The sequence below is a fragment of the Homo sapiens genome, chromosome 20 (assembly GCF_000001405.40).
Source record: "Homo sapiens chromosome 20, GRCh38.p14 Primary Assembly".
Classification (NCBI taxonomy): Eukaryota; Metazoa; Chordata; class Mammalia; order Primates; family Hominidae; genus Homo; species Homo sapiens.
This window is the reverse complement of record NC_000020.11, coordinates 18,034,770-18,053,111: the sequence shown is the minus strand read 5'-3', so window position 1 is coordinate 18,053,111 and position 18,342 is coordinate 18,034,770. Positions and strand designations below refer to the sequence as shown.

The window sequence follows — 18,342 nt, the reverse complement described above, 5'->3', positions numbered from 1 at the left end:
AATGTGGCTGGCCCTTCCCAGCCTACCTGCCTTTTGACGGTGTGCCTCAGGGCAGATTGTGAAATTGTCTCTTTACTACTGAGAATTCTGTAATTTGCCAAACAAATAAGGGTGAGAAGATGATGTACATTCCAGAGAGTGTGCATGGCAGGTCCCTTTTGTGCTGGATCCATCTGCAGGTCTTCAGCTGCGGGGTAGAGAAACCCAGGAAATACTAATCACCATTGTCCTTTGGAGGCTTATTAGAAAGTAAGTAACTCTGAAGTTGGCTGATAGTATTCATACGTGATTCTCTGGCTGGTAGGACCCAGGTCCAAGTATGGAGTACCAAGTGAATTTGTCCTCTCACCCTTTCCTATTCTGTTCTTTCTTTTTGTCCTCTCCCATGGGTTCTTCAAAATAAATTAAGTTTAGATTCTTTCAAAAGTATGCTTGGCCTTTTACCCGGCTCTCTATCGAGTCTTGTAGTGGTGCAGATGTGTGTCTACGGAGTAGTCCCCATACCCCCATCACTTTGTATTATTTACAATCTCAAAGGCATAGTCATACGTATCTGCCACCCAGCCCCAACAACCATTAACCCATGGCCAGTCCTGCCCAGCCACACTCCCACCCCTTGCCCCATGCATGATTCTGAAGCAAATCTAGGACATCATACCATTTCAACCATAAATAGTTCAGAATGTGCGTTTAGTGGATAAAGACCAAAATTCATGATCACACCCACATTACCAATTGTGTTCACATTACTAATTGTCTCATAAATTAATACTTTTCCCCTCCAGTTTGCTTAATCAGGTCCACATAATGTCCACACATTGTAATTGATTGGCATGTCTTTTGAGCCTCTTTTAATTTCATACATTTTCCCTCCATCAAGTTAATTGTTGAAGAAATGGGTGATTTGTTTTGTAGAGTCCCCAACAGTCTGGATTTTGCTGAGCGCATCACCATGTGCCTAATGTTTCTCAGTCCCCTAGGTTTTCTCTAAACGGATAGTTGGATCTGCAGCTGCAGCATCCAGTATCACATGTGACTATCACAGCCATAGTCAATTAAGAATTAACAATTAGACCAGGCGCCATAGCTCATGCCTGTAATCCCAGCACTTTGGGAGGCCGAGGCGGGCGGATCACCTGAGGTCAGGAGTTCAAGACCAGCCTGGCCAACATGTTGAAACCCCGACTCTATTAAAAAAAAATACAAAAAAAATTAGTAGGGCTTGGTGGCATGCACCTGTAATTCAGGCTACTCAGGATGCTGAGGCAGGAGAATCGCTTGAACCCAGGAGGTGGAGATTGCAGTGAGCCAAGATTGCACCACTGCACTCCAGCCTGGACAACAGAGCGAGACCCTGTCTCAAAATAACAGTTAAGTTCTTCAGTCCTACTAGCGACATTTCAAATGCTAGTAGCCATGTGTGACCAGAGGCTAATGTACTGGACAGTACAGAATATAATTTTTCTGTCACCACAAAAAGTTCTATTGGATAATGCAACTCTCCCTGCTTGGTCAGCTCTATTTTATTTCAGCTAGAATATGTCACACTGTGGGGCATCTGTCTTCATCAGAGGCACTGAATATTTGGTTATCTCTCTTTTTCTGATGTTAGCAGCTGTTGATGCTCAGGACCTAAATATTTTGGCTTATTAGGTGTTCTAAAACAGCAATAATCTAATTCTGTCCTCTGTTTATTAACTGATGTATTTCTATAGAGATACACTTTGCCTCATCTACTGCTTGGTTTTCCAGTGGCACAGTTCATTTATGAAAGGCAGAATAATGCTGGATTCGCTTTATTTACCTTTATTTGTAAATGAAGATAATCAGTTGTTAACCAGAATTCTCCATTGATGGCTAATTAGTTCTTTCTTTTCTTTCTCTTTATTTATTTTTCCTTTTGAGACAGGGCCTCACTATGTTGCCCAGGCTGGTCTCAAACTCCTGGGCTGAAACGATCCTCCTATCTCAGCCTCCCAAAGTGCTAGGACTACAGGCACATGCTGCTGAGCCTGGCTCTCAATCTGTTATTTCATTCATTTTGTTGTGAATTATGGATTCAAGCCGTTTTTAAAAACCAATTCATTTGATATTTGGAAGGGAATATAAGCTCCATCCCTGACTCCTTTCCTCTTGTTTTTTTGTCTCCCAAGACAGACTTGAATACTCCTCCCCCTGCTCCACTGTAACCTGCTGCCCATTTTCCTGGCTGCACATTTGGCCAACTGACTTCTCTTTTCCACTCTAGATCCATCAGAGCCAGGGAACACTTCCTACTGGGCTCGTATTACCCAGCAACCAGTGCAGTAGTGCCTGGGTCATAGAAGGACATAAGTGAACACAGAACAAGAATTTAGGCAGGGGAAGAAGTCAACAGTTCCCAGACATGAGTGATAGCATTTGAAGGAAAACACAGAAAGCAGGAAGAAAAGGGATACTGGAAAAATGCTTGGAATGGATTCTTGATGAAGGTTAAATTAATTAAAAGGGGGAAAAGGAGGAATATGAGAACAATGTGTATTAATTGCCTGGTGTTAAACTTGAATATAGGTGAAGTAGGTTTTTATTGTTGGAAAGGACTACATAGGCTTAGTTACGAACATCAGAATCCACTATAGCTAGTTTAAGCAGAGAAAGGTATTAAATGGACTAAAGAAGGACCAAGCTGAGCTCCCAGGAATGACTCAGAGCCACAGAGCAGAACTGGGCCACCTAGGAGCTGAAGCTGCTGCCCAATCAGGAAGCTGCCACCTCGATGGCTGCCCGTCCCTGCATCTGCCATGGCAAAGTGTAAAACAATTGCCTCTTGCCTGCCTCTGCCCAGTTAACTCGGGGCTGAATTCAGATCTCCTGATAGTGCATGTAACTGGTGAAACCCAAGTTACTTCCCAAATCCTCATGGCAAGGGAGTCAGGGAAGCGTAGTTTTCACTTCTCTAGCTTCGGCGGTGCAGGAAGGCCCACCAAAAGGAGTTGGGATAGATACTGAGTCCTTCCATAGGATCGACTACAGGAACCTTTAAAGCATGTATGGCCCCAAATCTCCTTACTTTCAGGGTGAGAAAAATTAAGCCCAGCAAGTTTTTGTTGAGTTCCTCAAAGTTGTTAGTGGCAAAACTCAACCCAAGGATCCTCAACCTTTCAGCATTGTTCCATTGCATTGTGGGACAACTGTACTGTCCAGTATGTCAGCCGTAGTCAATATGTGGCTTTGATGCTTTAGCCCTTAGTGTTGATAGTCTGACATTAAGGACTCATGATGATATGAGACAAACAATGGGGTTCATGCCCCCTCCTCCTGCCCCACAGACCTGTGGGCCTGTCCTGAGGGAACTGTAGGCACAAGTTTTGCAGATGACGGACCACATTCAAAATTCTCAGGGTTGGCCACTACAAGTCATGTGGCCGTGGGCAAGTCATATCTCTTTGGGCCTCAGTTTCTTCTTCAGGTTTATAAAGATATATATTCCCTTCATCTTCTCTGCATTTGAGAAGGCTCTCCATTCTGCCATGTAGGGGAGTTGTGAAGTCTAAGGAAATGGTACATAGGATCGGGGGGGGAATCTGAATGCCAAACGAATTGGGGAAATATGCTTAGCATGCTTTTAGCATTCAAGCATCGCACCGTGTCGGTGGAAATCTGGTCCAAATGGCCACCAGAAGGTAGCCTTGGACTCAGAATATCCTCCCATAGACCATTAACTAAATGAACTTGTCTGCTAGAAACATCAACAGAAAATAAAAGTTGTTCTTTTTTTTGTCGTTGTTTTCACCTTTAGAAGTTTGACAGGTGAATGATCTGAGCCGGCTTTGAAGCTGGTCAGAGGGCCAGCCGAAGGCCCTGACTCCCTGGATGTTCCTGCAGTTTTCAGCAGTGCGGAGACAATGATTGGTTTGTTCTGCCGCTGAGTCCTGTTTTCTAGAAGAAGAACTTGAGGAGAATTTTGCACATTTTTTGAAATGAAAGCCGAGATCCTGCAGAAAACAGGACAGTGCTCAGAAAAGCGCCAGGCCATGGGGTTGGAGAGCTGTTCATTGTCTCTTCGTCTTCGTGCCCTGAATTAATTTCAAGACCAAGGTCATTTCCCTCCCTGTATGGTAGTTTCCCCACCTCGTTAATAAGCCTTTTGCAAAGTGTTAATTTTGGATTAAGGGTGAGACGATTAAGCTTTTCCAGAAGGTAGCATGGTGTAAAAACCACCCCTGGCAGGCTTGGAGCAGTACCTTATAATTAAATATATTAATAATTTCCATATTAAAATGTGAATATTGACACTAAATGGGATAAAGTCTGCACATATTTTTACATCAGCTCAGGTCAGATTTCACTGTCACGGGAGATAGGAGAGAATGTTGGTTGTCAGAGCTTTTTGTCATATGTTTTGTTTTATTTTATTTTATTTTTTGAGACAGGGTCTCTCTCTGTCACTCGGGCTGGAATGCAGTGGTGCTATCTCGGCTTACTGTAACCGCCGCCCCCCACCTCAGCCTCCTGAGTAGCTGGGATTACAGGTGTGCATCACCATGCCCAGCTAATTTTTGTATTTTAGTAGAGTCAGGGTTTTACCATGTTGGCCAGGCTGATCTTGAACTCCTGACCTCAAATGATCCTCCTGCCTACACCTCTCAAAGTGCTGGGATTACAGGCATGAGCCACTATACCCAGCTGTTTTTCAGAGCTTTTTGAATTACAGAGTTGCAGATGAAGGACTGGGAGCTAGTGGCTCCCTTTTTAGTTTCGTTTTGTTTTTTTTAGTTCCCCTTTTCTTCCATCAAAGAGAGAAAAATTCAAAAGCAAATTGGGAAACAAATTTTTTTTTCTTCTTTTGAGACAGTCTTGCTCTATGGCTGAGGCTGGAATGCAGTGGCATGATCTTGGCTCGCTGCAAACTCCGCCTCCCGGGTTCAAGTGATTCTCGTGCCTCAGCCTCCTGAGTAGCTGGGACTATAGGCGTGCACCACCACAACTGGCTAATTTTTGTATTTTTAGTAGAGATGGAGTTTCACCATGTTGGCCAGGCTGGTCTCGAACTCCTGACCTCAGGTGATCTGCCCCCTCAGCCTCCCAAAGTGCTGGGATTACAGGCAGGAGCCACCGTATCTGGCCGAGAAACAAGAAATTTTGACCAATTACCTTTTGTTTAGGACCACAGAATTTTGGAGTTGGTCTAACTATAATAGGACTTACAAAGCACCAGGTTAATTAAATTAAGATTTAATTTCTTCATTTCTTTCTTTTTTTTTTTTTTTTTTTTTTTTGAGACGGAGTCTCACTCTGTCGCCTGGGCTGGAGTGCAATGGCGCAATCTCAGCTCACTGCAACCTCCGCCTCCCGGGTTCAAGTGATTCTCCTGCCTCAGCCTTCCAAGTAGTTGGGATTATAGGCACCTACCACCATGCCTGGCTAATTTTTGTATTTTTAATAGAGGCGGGGTTTCACCATGTTGGTCAGGCTGGTCTCGAACTCCTGACCTCAGATGATCCACCGGCCTTGGCCTCCCAAAGTACTAGGATTACAGGTGTGAGCCACTGTGCCCTGCCAATTTCATTTATTTCTAAGAGACAGATATTATTATTATATTTATTTATATTTATTTATTTTGAGACAGAGTTACAGTCTTGTTGCCCAGGCTGGAGTGCAACGGCACAATTTCGGCTCACTGCAACCTCCGCCTCCCGGGTTCAAACGATTCTCTTGTTTCAGCCTCCCGAGTAGCTGGGATTATGAGTAGCCACCATGCGCGGCTAATTTTTGTATTTTTAGTAGAGACGGGGTTTCATCATATTGGTCAGGCTGGTCTCGAACTCCTGACCTCAGGTGATCCACCCACCTCGGCCTCCTGAAGTGCTGGGATTACAGGCGTGAGCCACCACGCCTGCCAATGCAAATATTATTATTCACATTTTACAGGTGATGAAATGAAGGCTTAGAGAAGTTAGGTAACTTGCCTACAACTAAGTTAGGTAACTTGCCACAAACTAAGTGGTAGAACAGGAATTGAAGGAATTGAGGAAACTGGAAAACAGACCCTGCTCTTAGCTTCTTATACTGCTGAAGAGATCATCTAATACCATTTTATTGTTTTACATGTGGGGAAATTGTGACATAGGGATGTTAAATGACATTCCATATCACACCCCTAGCCAGATCTAGGTTTTTTTTTTTTTTGATCCTTCAGATTTATTGTCTCTCTATTCCACTATTGTTTTGTAACTAACATGACTAAGATGTAATTAAGTTTAGTCTAGTACTTGTAGAGGAACAAGGTAAGATCGATTAACTCTTTTTTAACTTTTAGGAGGTACAGTGTTAGGTGTAAACCTATGTAAACAAAATAAAGGTGCTCCAGTGAGCAGAGCTGTGATCCTGATCCAGGCGGGGTCAGCTGGTCCTCTGCCCCATGAGACATCAGTCCAGGAGTCAGATGTGTCTTCTGTACCATGCAGTCCTGGGAGAGACACTTAGAAATGTGGCAGGTCTGGCGTCTGGAGAGAATGATACGTTTATTACTGTTCCAGTTAACCTATTTCTGCTTCACAAGAATCTCCAAATTTAATAGATGAAATGATGTAGTATTGTATCATCCACCTCTGTGGGATGACTGGGCTTAGCAGGGCAGTTCTTGCCTTGTGGTTGCAGTCAGATGGCGGCTGAGGCTGGAGTCTTCTGGGGGTTTGACTGGGATGGACATCCACAAGGGCTCACTCACATGGCTGGCAGGTGACACTTGAACTGCTTCTAGCCTCTTACCTTTGTCCAGTGCATTAATTGTAAGGTTCTGCCACCGTTTTTTCACAAGTTCCTATTGATAGACATGTATTTAGTTTCCAGTCCTTTGCTATTACAAACCAAATTTCAAGGCACAAGGCATATTAAATATACTTTTAGGGATAAATTTCATGTTTAGGAATTTACAAAGATCCCTTCCTTTCTGAGAAGTGAAATAGTCTGGCAGAAGCTAGCTTTGTCAGCCATGATTTTTTGCCATTAAATAACCTTACATCTTCTTTCAACAAGGCTCCTGAAGACTTTGAGTGTAATTTGTTAATATCTGATGGCTGGATTGGTCATAAGGGTGGTAAGCAGCACTTAATGGATTGGAGGGTGTGCCACAGGATGAATTCCCTACCTGAGCCACTTCTTGGTGACTCAGCTTTCCATGCTGTGAAATGGGGAGAAATGGAAAAATTGCCTTTGCTGAGGGATATGTGGAGAATTTCCATTTTTGCTCTAAGAAAACCAGAGGAAACGTCCCCTTGAGAATTAGGTGTGCCTTCAGTCTCCAACCCCTTCTCTCCACTCCCATTTTCTCCCCTGTTTTATAAAGCTTCCTGGCAAGTCATTGTGGCTCACGCCTGTAATCCCAGCACTTTGGGAGGCTGAGGCAGGAGGATCCCTTGAGGATAAGAGTTGAAGATCAGTCTGGTCAACATAGTGAGATTCTATCTCTAAAAAAAATTAAAAACAAACAAAAATAAATAACACACTTTCTATGTCTTGATCAGATGATCTACTGGCCCTGTACTCCCTTAAATTGTCACTGATCTCCCTTCCCTGTGCCCTTCAAGATCTTATTCTTTTCAAACAAAATAATACCGACGATTTGAGATTTTCATTCTAGACTGCAATAGAAGGCATCTGTATTGCATTCAGAGCATTTTAAAAATAGGAATTTGTCAAAAAGATTAAACAAGAATTCATGTTTGAACTATGGTTGGTGAGTCCTTAGGCACATTCTGCAAGACTTTCAAAAGACAGTTGCAGGTTTTTACTAATTTTAACTGGAATTACCAGGGTAATTGTCTTTGTTCTATTTCATTAGCCCCTCACTACCACTCAAATGTGCTTGTGCACACTTGGTCTTTAGAAGCTCAAAGTACTTAGTGGAGCATATTTAGTCTTTTCAAATCCCTTCAAGGGTGGAAGTAAGCAGGATGGGGACTGCCGGGCAAGGAGAACATGAACTGCGTGGGTGATAGGAAAGCCTTGGGTAGAGGTGGGCAGCTGCAGTTCTGGGGAGTGAGGTAGTTGATGAGGATCCAGGACAGCCACCCAACTGGGTCATCGAACTCAGCCCCTGTGATGTTCCCCCTTTGTCTTCCAGTGGCTCCCTCTTGCCCTTTGACTACATTCCAGCTCCAGTAGGGCCCTCAAGGTAGACTCCTAAGGGGATCTTGTTCTTCTCAGCTACCACTGCTCTCTTCATTAACTGCTCTCCCAGGCTCAGGCTAGCCATGCTGAACCACACACAGTTCCCTCTTTCCCATTGTCCTCTCCTGGAATGTTCTTTGCTGTGCACCCCTTTTCTTCCTCATCTTTGCCTGACTAAGGAGCTCACTTCCTCTGGAAGCATCTTCCCTGGTGCTGTAGGTCTGGGGTAGGTGCCCCCTCGGACCCCTGGGCCTCTCAGATGTCAATGGCTGTTGACTTGCCTGCACCCCCACTAGACTCGGCAGCTTCCTAGGGACTGGGGATTAAGCCATCTCTAACTGTATTGCCTCCAGCTCTAAGCACAGGGCTTGTCACAGATCAGGGACTTATCAATGTTAGCTGGGGCAAATTAAGCTCCAAGCAAAGGAAAATGAACTAGTGGAGGAGGCTGACTGGAATACCCTGTTCTGGGGTCTTGTGCCTCCCTTGAGACTCTCTGCATCCTGCCACCTGCTCCCAGCTGCCGGTCAGCACATACTGATTGTGCACTGGCCCTAGACTAGGCTTGGAGCAGTGGGTAGGGAGGCAGGAATGGGACCGAATGCTTGCTGACCATCCTCAAAGTGTTGAGTTGAGAAAACAAGATGAACTGTGTGCATAGTGAAACTTGGGAATGAGATGGAATATAGCATGACTTCTCAGGGCTAGTGTGGCGTGTGCATCAGCTGCAGTGGCATCTCCTGGGCTCTGGTTAGAAATGCAGCACATCAGACCCTACCAGACCTCCTGAATCAGAACCTGCATTTTAACAAGACCCCAGGGGAGGCATAGGTATGCTGGAGTCTGAGAGGCACTGGTTTAAGTGGGACAGTGAGCAGTTTAGTCATGGGCTGCAGTATTTGGAGAAGGCTGCATCGGCAAGGGAGCAACTGAGCTCCCTTGAGTCCTGGGAGGGCAATACCCAGGGTGGATGAAAGAGGAGAGTATTTGAAGCTGGGAGAGTGTGGAGCCAGGAGAGGACCAGTCTTCTTGCTAGTGATGAATTTTGGCAGAGCAATGGGATCCATCTTCTAAAGGATCTGATTTGGTAACATTCACATCACATGTTCAAAAGTTACCAAATCAGATACTAAAATTGAACACATCATTTTTATCACCCAGATGTAGATTCTATGTTCTTCCTTAGCAGCAGCGAAGGTGGTAGAAAGCACTGGGCAGGGAGTCCAGACCCAGGTCTGGTTGTGGTTTTGCTGATAACAAAGCTGTGGGTACTGACCAAGCCGCTTTACAAAATGATAATTTTATGCGTTTATGATTTCGTGGGTCAAGACAAAAGCCATAGGCATGGCTCTGCTAGGCAGTTCTACTCTGGGTAGTGTTAGTGGGGGCGACTCATTCAGCTGGTGGCAGCCCTGAGTTGGGATGGAGAGTCCAATCAGGCTTTATTCATATCTGGCTCCTCCGTGCTCCCCCATGTGGCCTTTGGCTGTCCACATGGCTAGCTTGGGCTTCCTCACAGCATGGTAGCCTCAGACTTCTTATGTGGCAGCTGGCTTATAAGAGGGAAGAAATGGAAGCTACAAGGTCTCTTAAAACCTGGAACTGACACATCTTCATTGCATTCTGTTGATCCAACTGGTCATAAGCCCTGCCCAGATTCAAGGGGAGGGAAAACAGTCTCCATCTCTTGATAAATGGAGCAGGATGCAGGCACAAGGAGGACAGAATTGAGTGTGGCTCTCTTTGGGTACTGTCTGTAATATAACATACCAGGCTCCATGATGTCATGAGGACCCAGACTCCTTTCTGCTCCTCCCACCTCATGGTCCAAGGTGACTGTTGGTGCTCTAGTCAGCAGGAAGGAGTGGAGGAGGAAGAAGGCACCGTTTGCTCCCCTTCAAGGAGATTTCTATTTCATTGGCCAGGTAGTCCATGGCCATGCTGTCTTAGTCCATTTTGCGTTGCCATAAAGAATACCTGAGACTGGCTAATTTATAGAGAAGAGGTTTATGGCTCATGGTTCTGCAGGCTATACAAGAAGCATAGGGCTGGTGTCTTCTTCTGGTGAGGCCCTCAGGAAGCTTCCACTCATAGAAGGCGGAAGGGGAACAAGCGTGTCATATGGTGAGGGAGGAAGCAAGAGAGAGGGGAGGAAGTGCCGGGCTCTTTTTTTTTTTTTTTTTTTGAGACGGAGTTTTGCTCTTGTTGCCCAGGCTGGATGCAATAGCCCGATCTTGGCTCACCGCAACCTTTGCCTCCTGGGTTCAAGTGATTCTCCTGCCTCTGCTTCCCGAGTAGCTGGGATTACAGGCATGCACCACCACGCCTGGCTAATTTTGTATTTTTAGTAGAGATGGGATTTCTCCACGTTGGTCAGGCTGATCTCAAATTCCCGACCTCAGGTGATCCACCCACCTCAGCCTCCCAAAGTGCTGGGATTACAGGCATGAGACGCCGCGCCTGGCCACCAGGCTCTTTTAAACAGCCAGCTCTCCCATGAACTGATGAGAGTAAGAACTCGCTCTTTACTACGGGGACGGCACCAGGCCATTCATGAGGGATCTGCCCCTGTAACCTCCCACGAGGCCCCACCTCCAACACTGGGGATCACATTTCAACAAGACATTTGGAGGGGCCTAACATTCATACCCCATCACATGCCTGTAGGATGCTGTAAGACAGTATGCCCAGCTAGAAGTCAGAGGTTTGTTCTAAGGAAGAAGGGGAGAATAAAAAGTGGGAGCAACTGGCTGGGTGCGGTGGCTCATGCCTGTAATCCCAGCACTTTGGGAGGCTGAGGCGGATGGATCACTTGAGGTCAGGAGTTTGAGACCAGCCTGGCCAACATGGTGAAACCCTGTCTCTACTGAAAATACAAAAATTAGCCAGGCGTGGTTGTATGTGCCCCTGTAGTCCCAGCTACTTGGGAAGCTGAGGCAGGAGAATTACCTGAACCCAAGAGGTGGAGGTTACGGTGAGCTGAGATCGAGCCACTGCACTCCAGCCTGGGCAAAAAAAGTAAGACTCCATCTCAAAAAGAAAAAAAAAAAAAAAAAAGGGTGGGAGGAACTGCCAGTTGTTACTTCACCTTTCCCAAAGCCAAAACCTGCTTGAAAATTTTAGGGGCAGAAGCCGCAGACAGGGCAGCCTCAAGACACAGGGAGGTGGGTCTCTTGAGTGAGCCTACTGGATGTGCCTGCCTGCCCGGGGACCCTCATGGCCTCTCTCTGCCCCCAGTTCACCACAGGCACGTGCAGCGACTCGGTGGTTCACAGCTGTGACCTGTGTGGCAAGGGCTTCCGTCTGCAGCGCATGCTGAACCGTCACCTCAAGTGCCACAACCAGGTGAAAAGACACCTGTGCACCTTCTGCGGCAAGGGCTTCAACGACACCTTCGACCTGAAGAGGCACGTCCGCACACACACAGGTGAGCGGGGAGTGCGTGCTTTGTTCTCTGTTTTGTTATTCTGGCCAAGAGCTCCTGTTTCTTTCCCACCAAAAAACCAGGTTGAGACCGTGGAACAATGTTGTGTTTCTAGAAAGATCACAAGATGCGGATCACGAGGTTAGGAGTTTGAGACCAGCCTGGCCAACATAGTGAAACCCTGTCTCTACTAAAAATACAAAAAAATTAGCTGGGCGTGGTGGTGGCGCCTGTAATCCCAGCTACTTGGGAGGCTGAGGCAGGAGAATCGCTTGAACCTGGGAGGCGGAGGTTGCAGTGAGCCAAGATCATGCCACTGCACTCCAGCCTGGGTGACATTGCAAGACTCCATCTCAAAAAAAGAAAAAAAAAGAAAGATCACAAGATGATGGGGCGTTAGGGCCAGCCCTTCTGGGTTCACCTCCTGACTCTGCCACCTGCCAGCTGTGTCACCTTGGGCCAGGTGAGCCACCTTTGGTAGCCTGCCTTTCACCCCTGTAAAATGGAGATATCGATGTGAGTTCTAGCGAGGCTCAAAACGGATCCCTGGCTGGAAGTATTCTGAGAATCATGATGCATGGCACACACGCGGGGCCTGCCACAGCTCAGCCCCTTGGTTCTGGCTGCTGGAATGTGGTTCTTGTGGCCCCACAATGAGTATTTTATACTTCTCTCTTGGGACATAAGCCTGTCTCTGGATAGCATCGTGTTCCTCCTGAGACACAAAAAGGAGCTCATTGCCTTTAGAGCTGACCCGAGCCTCGTACTGGAGCCTGGCAGGCAAGCATCTTCCTCTTCTGGGACCTGCCTCAGTTTTCTGACTTAGGAAGTGGGAATCCAGGTTCTCCCCAGTTCCAGTTCTTCACAGAGTCCTGGGGGTGCCCTTGGCCTCTTGTCTCGGCCTCACTGCTTCTATCTGAGAAACACCTGGCCTCCATGCTTTCCCGCCTGAGCTCCATTGTCCACACCTCTGCCAGAGTGATCCCTCCAGGAGAATTCTAAGGACTCTACTTCCCTGCTAAGAAATCTCCAACTCTGAACAGAATGAAATCCAGACTCCTCATCTCTCATCTTGATGGGCTTCGTGTAAAGGCCTTTACAATGTGGGTCCCATCTTCAAATCCCCATCCTATCTCAGCCCATCCCAGCCCATCACGTCCTATCCCATCACATCCTATCACAGCCCACCTCAGATCAGCCCATCTCACTCCAACCCATTTCAGCTCATCCTATCCCATCCCATCTTAACCCATTCAACCCTATCCAGGTTACCACCCACCCTCCCAACAGACTTATAGAATTTACTATCTGCAGGCTGGGTGCAGTGGCTCCTGCTCGTAATCCTTGCACTTAAGGAGGCCAAGGTGGGAGGATTGCTTGAGGCCAAGAGTTGGAGACCAGCCTGGGCAACATCGAAAGACTGTCTCCCCAAGAAAATTTAAAAATTAGCCAGGCGTGGTGGTGCGTGCCTATAGTCCTAGCTACTTGGGAGACTGAGGCTGGAGGATCGCTTGAACGTAGGAGTTTGAGGCTGCAGTGAGCTATGATTGTGCCACTGCACTCCAGCCTGGACAAGAGAGCAAGACCCGGTCTCAAGGGGAAAAAAAAAGGGTTTGCTATCTATAGTCCCCGAGCCCTTTCCGTCCTTGGTATTTTGGTAGGGAAGGGAAGACACTTTTTCCTCCCTCCAGATGGGGCTCCCAGCTACTCAGCCCTCATACAGGTTCCTTCTTAGGCCTCTGCATCCTATTTTCTAGTTCATATCATGCGTGTTTGCTCTTAGAGGACTGGCCGTGAGCTGCCTCCCTGGTCTGGAAAGAGTTTCTGTCACCTTAGAGAGTGGCTGGAATCCTAACATAGTTCTTTTCTGTTTTCCTCTTTTAAAACTTTTTCTTTTCTTTCTTTCTTTCTTTCTTTTTTTTTTTTTTTGAGACAGCGTCTTGCTCTCTCACCCAGGCTGGAGTGCAGCCACCAACTCCTGGGCTCAACTGATACTCCCACTTCAGCACCCCTAGTAGCTGGGACTATAGGTGCATGCCACCACTCCCAGCTAATTTTTTTTGTATTTTGTATTTTTTGTAGAGATGAGATTTCGTCATGTTGCCCAGGCTGGTCTCAAACTCCTGGGCTCAAGCCATCCACCCGCCTTGGCCTCCCAAAATGCTGGAATTACAGGCATAAGCCACCACACCCGGCCAAAAACTTTTTCTAAAGAGACTTTTCATTTTAGTGTAACATACATCTAGAAAAGTGCACAGATCCTAAGTGCCGACCTCAGCAAATTTAGGAAGTTTTACAAAGTGAACACACTCATGCGACTAGCAGTCAGACCAAGAAACAGAATATTTCCAGCCACTAGAAGTCACTACCCCTCTCAGTCTGCCTTTTTCTCTCCAAGGAAAACCACTGTTGCAAATTCTAACAGCTTAAGTTACTGTTGCCTGTTTTTGAGCTTGATGTAAATGGAATCCCATAGTGTGCTCTTTGGGTCTGGTTATATGGCTGCTTTTCCTAGCACCAGTGAATCAATAAAAGTTTGACCTCTGTGAGTCTAAGCTGGCCATTGGGTGGGGGTGAGGAGAATGCTTAGGGAGAGGTGGAGGATCCATAGGGCAGTAGGGGGTCTTATAAGAGGCCTAGGGGAGGTCTCGAGGTTGTCAAGGGACCCATCCAGCAGCAGCAAAGCTGGGCTTTCCTCCTGACCCCAGGGGCAGGAAATCAGGACCACTCCTGAAGTCGCTGGCCATTGGTGGCCCTGGAGGGTGTCTCAGCCCCTCCTTGAGGGTGTCTCAAGGACATCATCTCTGAGGATGTCCTTGAGGGCATTCCCTGCCTGGATGGACTCTGTGGTCACTCCCCCACCCTGGCTTCTAGGACACAACGCAGGGGGCCCAGGAAGCATGGCTAGCTGTTGGTACCTTCAGCTGGAGTAAACACTGAGCTGATGGCCTTGCCTCCCCTGTGATTGAGTTAATTCTCCATTGCTGGAGACTAAGGGAAATATTAGGGACTGACAGCTTCTCAGAGAAGAGTTTACAAGTTGAGGCGGTCACATAGTAGTTAAGAACTCCTGATCTGAGTTAGCTGACTGTGAGACTTGTTCTAAATTATTCGTCTTTCACCTTAATTTTTCCATCTCTAGAATGGGTGTGATCATTTTAATACTTGCCACTTAAAGTGATGGTTGTGAGGTTTTGGGGCCAGAATTACATAAAAGTGCTTCTTATATTGTAAGTGCGTAGTAAATATTAGCTATTATTAGTAGTAAAATTGCAACAGTTGGCAGAGGCTTCCTGAGGACCTGATGTGTAACAGGCCCTAGGATTCACCTCTGTGCTCATGGAGCTCTCAGCCAACATAGGGAGGAATAACTCAGACATCTGACTGTGAGACAAGTGAAACAGCCGATATGCCAGACAGAAGAAAAAGTGGCACATGCCAAAGGGGAGTCCTGGGAGGTGCCTTGTTTCTAACTGCATGTCAGGGGGGCTTCTTAGAAAAGGTAGTCTTTCAGCTGGGCGTTGAAGGATGAGCAAGCTTTCTACAGCAGGACAGAAGGAGGAAGAGCGTTGCTAATGAGGAGTGTCTTAGTTTGGGTTGCCCAAGAAGCAGACGCGACACAAGGATTTGGATGTGAGCAATGTATTTGGGAGGTGATCCCAGAAAACACAGTAGAGGAGGGAGGGGAGGTCAGGAGGGAAGACAGCCAATAAAAGCTCAATAATAATGAGTGGGTTATCACTACGGGCAGCGGAGGCTCAATCCCACTGGAGATCCTCTGAAGAACCATATAGAATGCACCCCAGGTTGCTCAATCAACCCCCATCCCTCCTTGGGTGTCCATCCTGGACCTCCTGACTCCTGGGCAGTTCTCCCTACCCTCTGCCCACCCCAGCCCTTTGCAGGCCTGGAGAGCATCCTTAGGCAGAGAGATGCAGGAACCATCTGAGATGCCTGGCGATCTGCTAAGGGGATATGAGTGGGGCATCCGCCCTGGGAGGCAGAAGATTTAGCAAGTGAGGAGGGTGGCTCGGCAGAGACTAGGGGACCCTTCAGAGAGTAACACAGCCCTGCAGGCAGAAGCAAGCCACACACGGTCACTCTCCTTCATGCCAGGCCTCCGGCCTTTATCCTGTCATCTCAAATTACCCAAAGCAGTCAGTGCTGTTGTTCTCCACCTTTTGCAGAGGAGGAAACCAGGCTCAGGGAGCTCACACAACCCATCAGTGGTGGAGCTGGGAACCAGAACTGGCTGGCCCTGAAGTTCATGGTCTTTTATCCTCTGTAGGGTCTCCTTCTCTGCCCTCTTTGCCTCCCAGTGCCTTCCTCAGCATTCCCCCTGAGGCAGGGGCCTCACCAGCCTGCCCTGTTGCAGTTTCTTTCTTTTTTTTTTTTTTTTTTGAGACGGAGTCTCGCTCTGTCGCCCAGGCTGGAGTGCGGTGGCGCGATCTCGGCTCACTGCAAGCTCCGCCTCCCAGGTTCACGCCAGTCTCCTGCCTCAGCCTCCCGAGTAGCTGGGACTACAGGCGCCCGCTACCAAGCCTGGCTAATTTTCTGTATTTTCAGTAGAGACGGGGTTTCACCTTGTTAGCCAGGATGGTCTCGATCTCCTGACCTCGTGATCCGCCCGCCTCGGCCTCCCAAAGTGCTGGGATTACAGGCGTGAGCCACCGCGCCCGGCCTGTTGCAGTTTCTAGAAGCCTGCTTGCTTCTAGAGGAAGGTGAGATAAAGGGAAACTCAGACCTATTAGTAGCACAAAGTGCACACTTCAGCTTGGGGTTTAGTAGGTTGTAGAGGAGCCTGTGAGCGTGTGAGTTCAGTGGTGCCAAGATGTCCTCTGCCCACAGAGGAAGCAAGAAAGGGGGTGCCTGTACCCCTTCAGACTCCCAACCTGAGGTTCTCAGATTTTCTCCATCTCCTACTCTTCTAGTGACTCCTGTGAGGGAGCTGAAAATCATTTAAGTTAGTGAATGAAAATACCTTCCACCTGACGTTTTCCCAAAGGGTTTCGCAGTTATCACCTTAGGGGAAAGGCTAGGGCTTAGGAGGCAGCTAGGAGTGAAAAACCTAGAGGTGTGCTGGCTGGTCCGGCGGCCACTGGCTGTGTGTGGCTCCTGAGTCTCAGAGGAGGGGCTGGTCCAGATTGAGATGTGTTGTATAGGCAAAAGAGACACTAAGTTTCAAGTTGTAATGCAAAAAAAGAAGGTGTAAAAATCTCAATTTTTTTGTTTTTTTCTTTTTTGAGATGGAGTTTTGCTCTTGTCGCCGAGGCTGAAGTGCAATGGCTTGATCTTGGCTCACTGCAACCTCTGCCTCCCGGGTTCAAGTGATTCTCCTGCCTCAGCCTCCTGAGTAGCTGGGATTACAGGGATGCACCACCATGCCTGGCTAATTTTGTATTTTTAGTAGAGATGGAGTTTCTCCATGTTGGTCAGGCTGGTTTCGAACTCCTGACCTCAGGTGATCTGCCCGCCTCAGCCTCCCAAAGTGCTGGGATTACAGACATGAGGCACTGCACTCGGCCAAAAATCTCAATTTTTAATATGGATTTTACATTGAAATGGTAGTATTTTGGGCATAATGAGTTAAACAAAATATAGCATTAAAATTCATTTCACCTGTTTCTTCCTACCTGTTTGAGGCTTCTACAAAACGTTAACTTATAAAGCAGCTTGCATTTTAATTTCTATTGGATGGCACTAAGATAACCTTTAAAAATTTTAATCATCATTTTGACACTTAAAGGGATGAACAAATGGAACTATGGAAATGTTTTAGACCTATTTACCCCATCCCGACCTATTTTCTGATGAAGGTGTGTCTCCATGTAATAAAAGACCAGAAAGAGCAGCCGGGGGCTTCCTGACACATCAGCTGGTGGCAAGCTCAGAGGAACAGGCTTGCCGAGCCATCTCTTCAGCTCTGTCCAAAAGAGACAGTTGGTACAAAGTGCAAAAATGTGGGTTTCTCAGATGATGTTTTAGTTCATGTGAACAAACTTCACCAGCTCCAAAAGACCTTACTTGAATTCAGTGGGAATTTGGTCTTACCTTTGTTGTTTGCTTATTTGTTTTGTTTTAGGTGGAGTCTTGCTCTGTTGCCCAGGCTGGAGTACAGTGGCTCCCGTCTTGGCTCACTGCAGCCTCTGCCTCCTGGGTTCCAGCGATTCTCTTGCCTCAGCCTCCCAGGTAGCTGTAGCTGGGATTATAGGCACATGCCACCACGCCTGGCTAATTTTTGTATTTTTAGTAGAGATGGGGTTTCACCATGTTGGCCAGACTGGTCTCGACTTCCTGACCTCAGATGATCAGCCTGCCTTACCCTTCCAAAGTGCCAGGATTACAGGCGTGAGCCACTGCACCCGCCTGGCCTGGTCTTGCCTTTGATTGAGCTGTGAGTGTTGTATTTTTGCTATTGGTTCTTATAAGTAAATGTTGTATTTAGGCCAGAAACAAAGATATAGACACTTAACATAAATACGACAGATAGTTAAATGAGGGGTATGTTTGTTTGCAGTCCAATTAGACCAGGCCATGGCCTGGACCCAGGACCCAGGACCCAGGGCCGAGGACCCTTTGTTGGAGAATTGTAGCTATAATATTGATGAGGTGGGCAAAGACAGTGAGCTAGAGAATCAGGGTTAATCTGCACCACCCCCGACTCCCCCATCTCTTCCAATCCCCTGCAACTACTGAGCAAACAGGATATCTAAGGAAAGACTCAAAACACAAAGAAATATCTTGGAAAAGATCCAGGGAAACTAGAA

The 18,342-nt window shown here is 47.1% G+C and overlaps 1 protein-coding gene across 3 annotated transcripts in view, besides 1 other annotated feature; it reads left to right on the top strand.

Moving 5' to 3' along the window:
• The window catches only part of OVOL2 (ovo like zinc finger 2), a 35,037-nt gene that overhangs the window by 6,077 nt on the left and 10,618 nt on the right, over positions 1 to 18,342 (top strand). For all 3 annotated transcript variants that reach the window (NM_001303462.1, NM_001303461.1, NM_021220.4), the window contains one exon: positions 11,389 to 11,578. In NM_001303462.1, coding sequence (NP_001290391.1) covers positions 11,464 to 11,578 — 115 coding nt within the window. In that variant the 5' untranslated portion in view covers positions 11,389 to 11,463. The remainder of the gene's footprint in view (positions 1 to 11,388; positions 11,579 to 18,342) is intronic.
• Positions 15,497 to 15,997: an enhancer, noted in NCBI's record as "H3K4me1 hESC enhancer chr20:18017759-18018259 (GRCh37/hg19 assembly coordinates)". NCBI's record gives its function as "activates a minimal SCP1, AML or CMV promoter by ChIP-STARR-seq in naive H9 embryonic stem cells {active_cell/tissue: H9 hESC(naive)}" and the evidence as "EXISTENCE:reporter gene assay evidence [ECO:0000049][PMID:30033119]".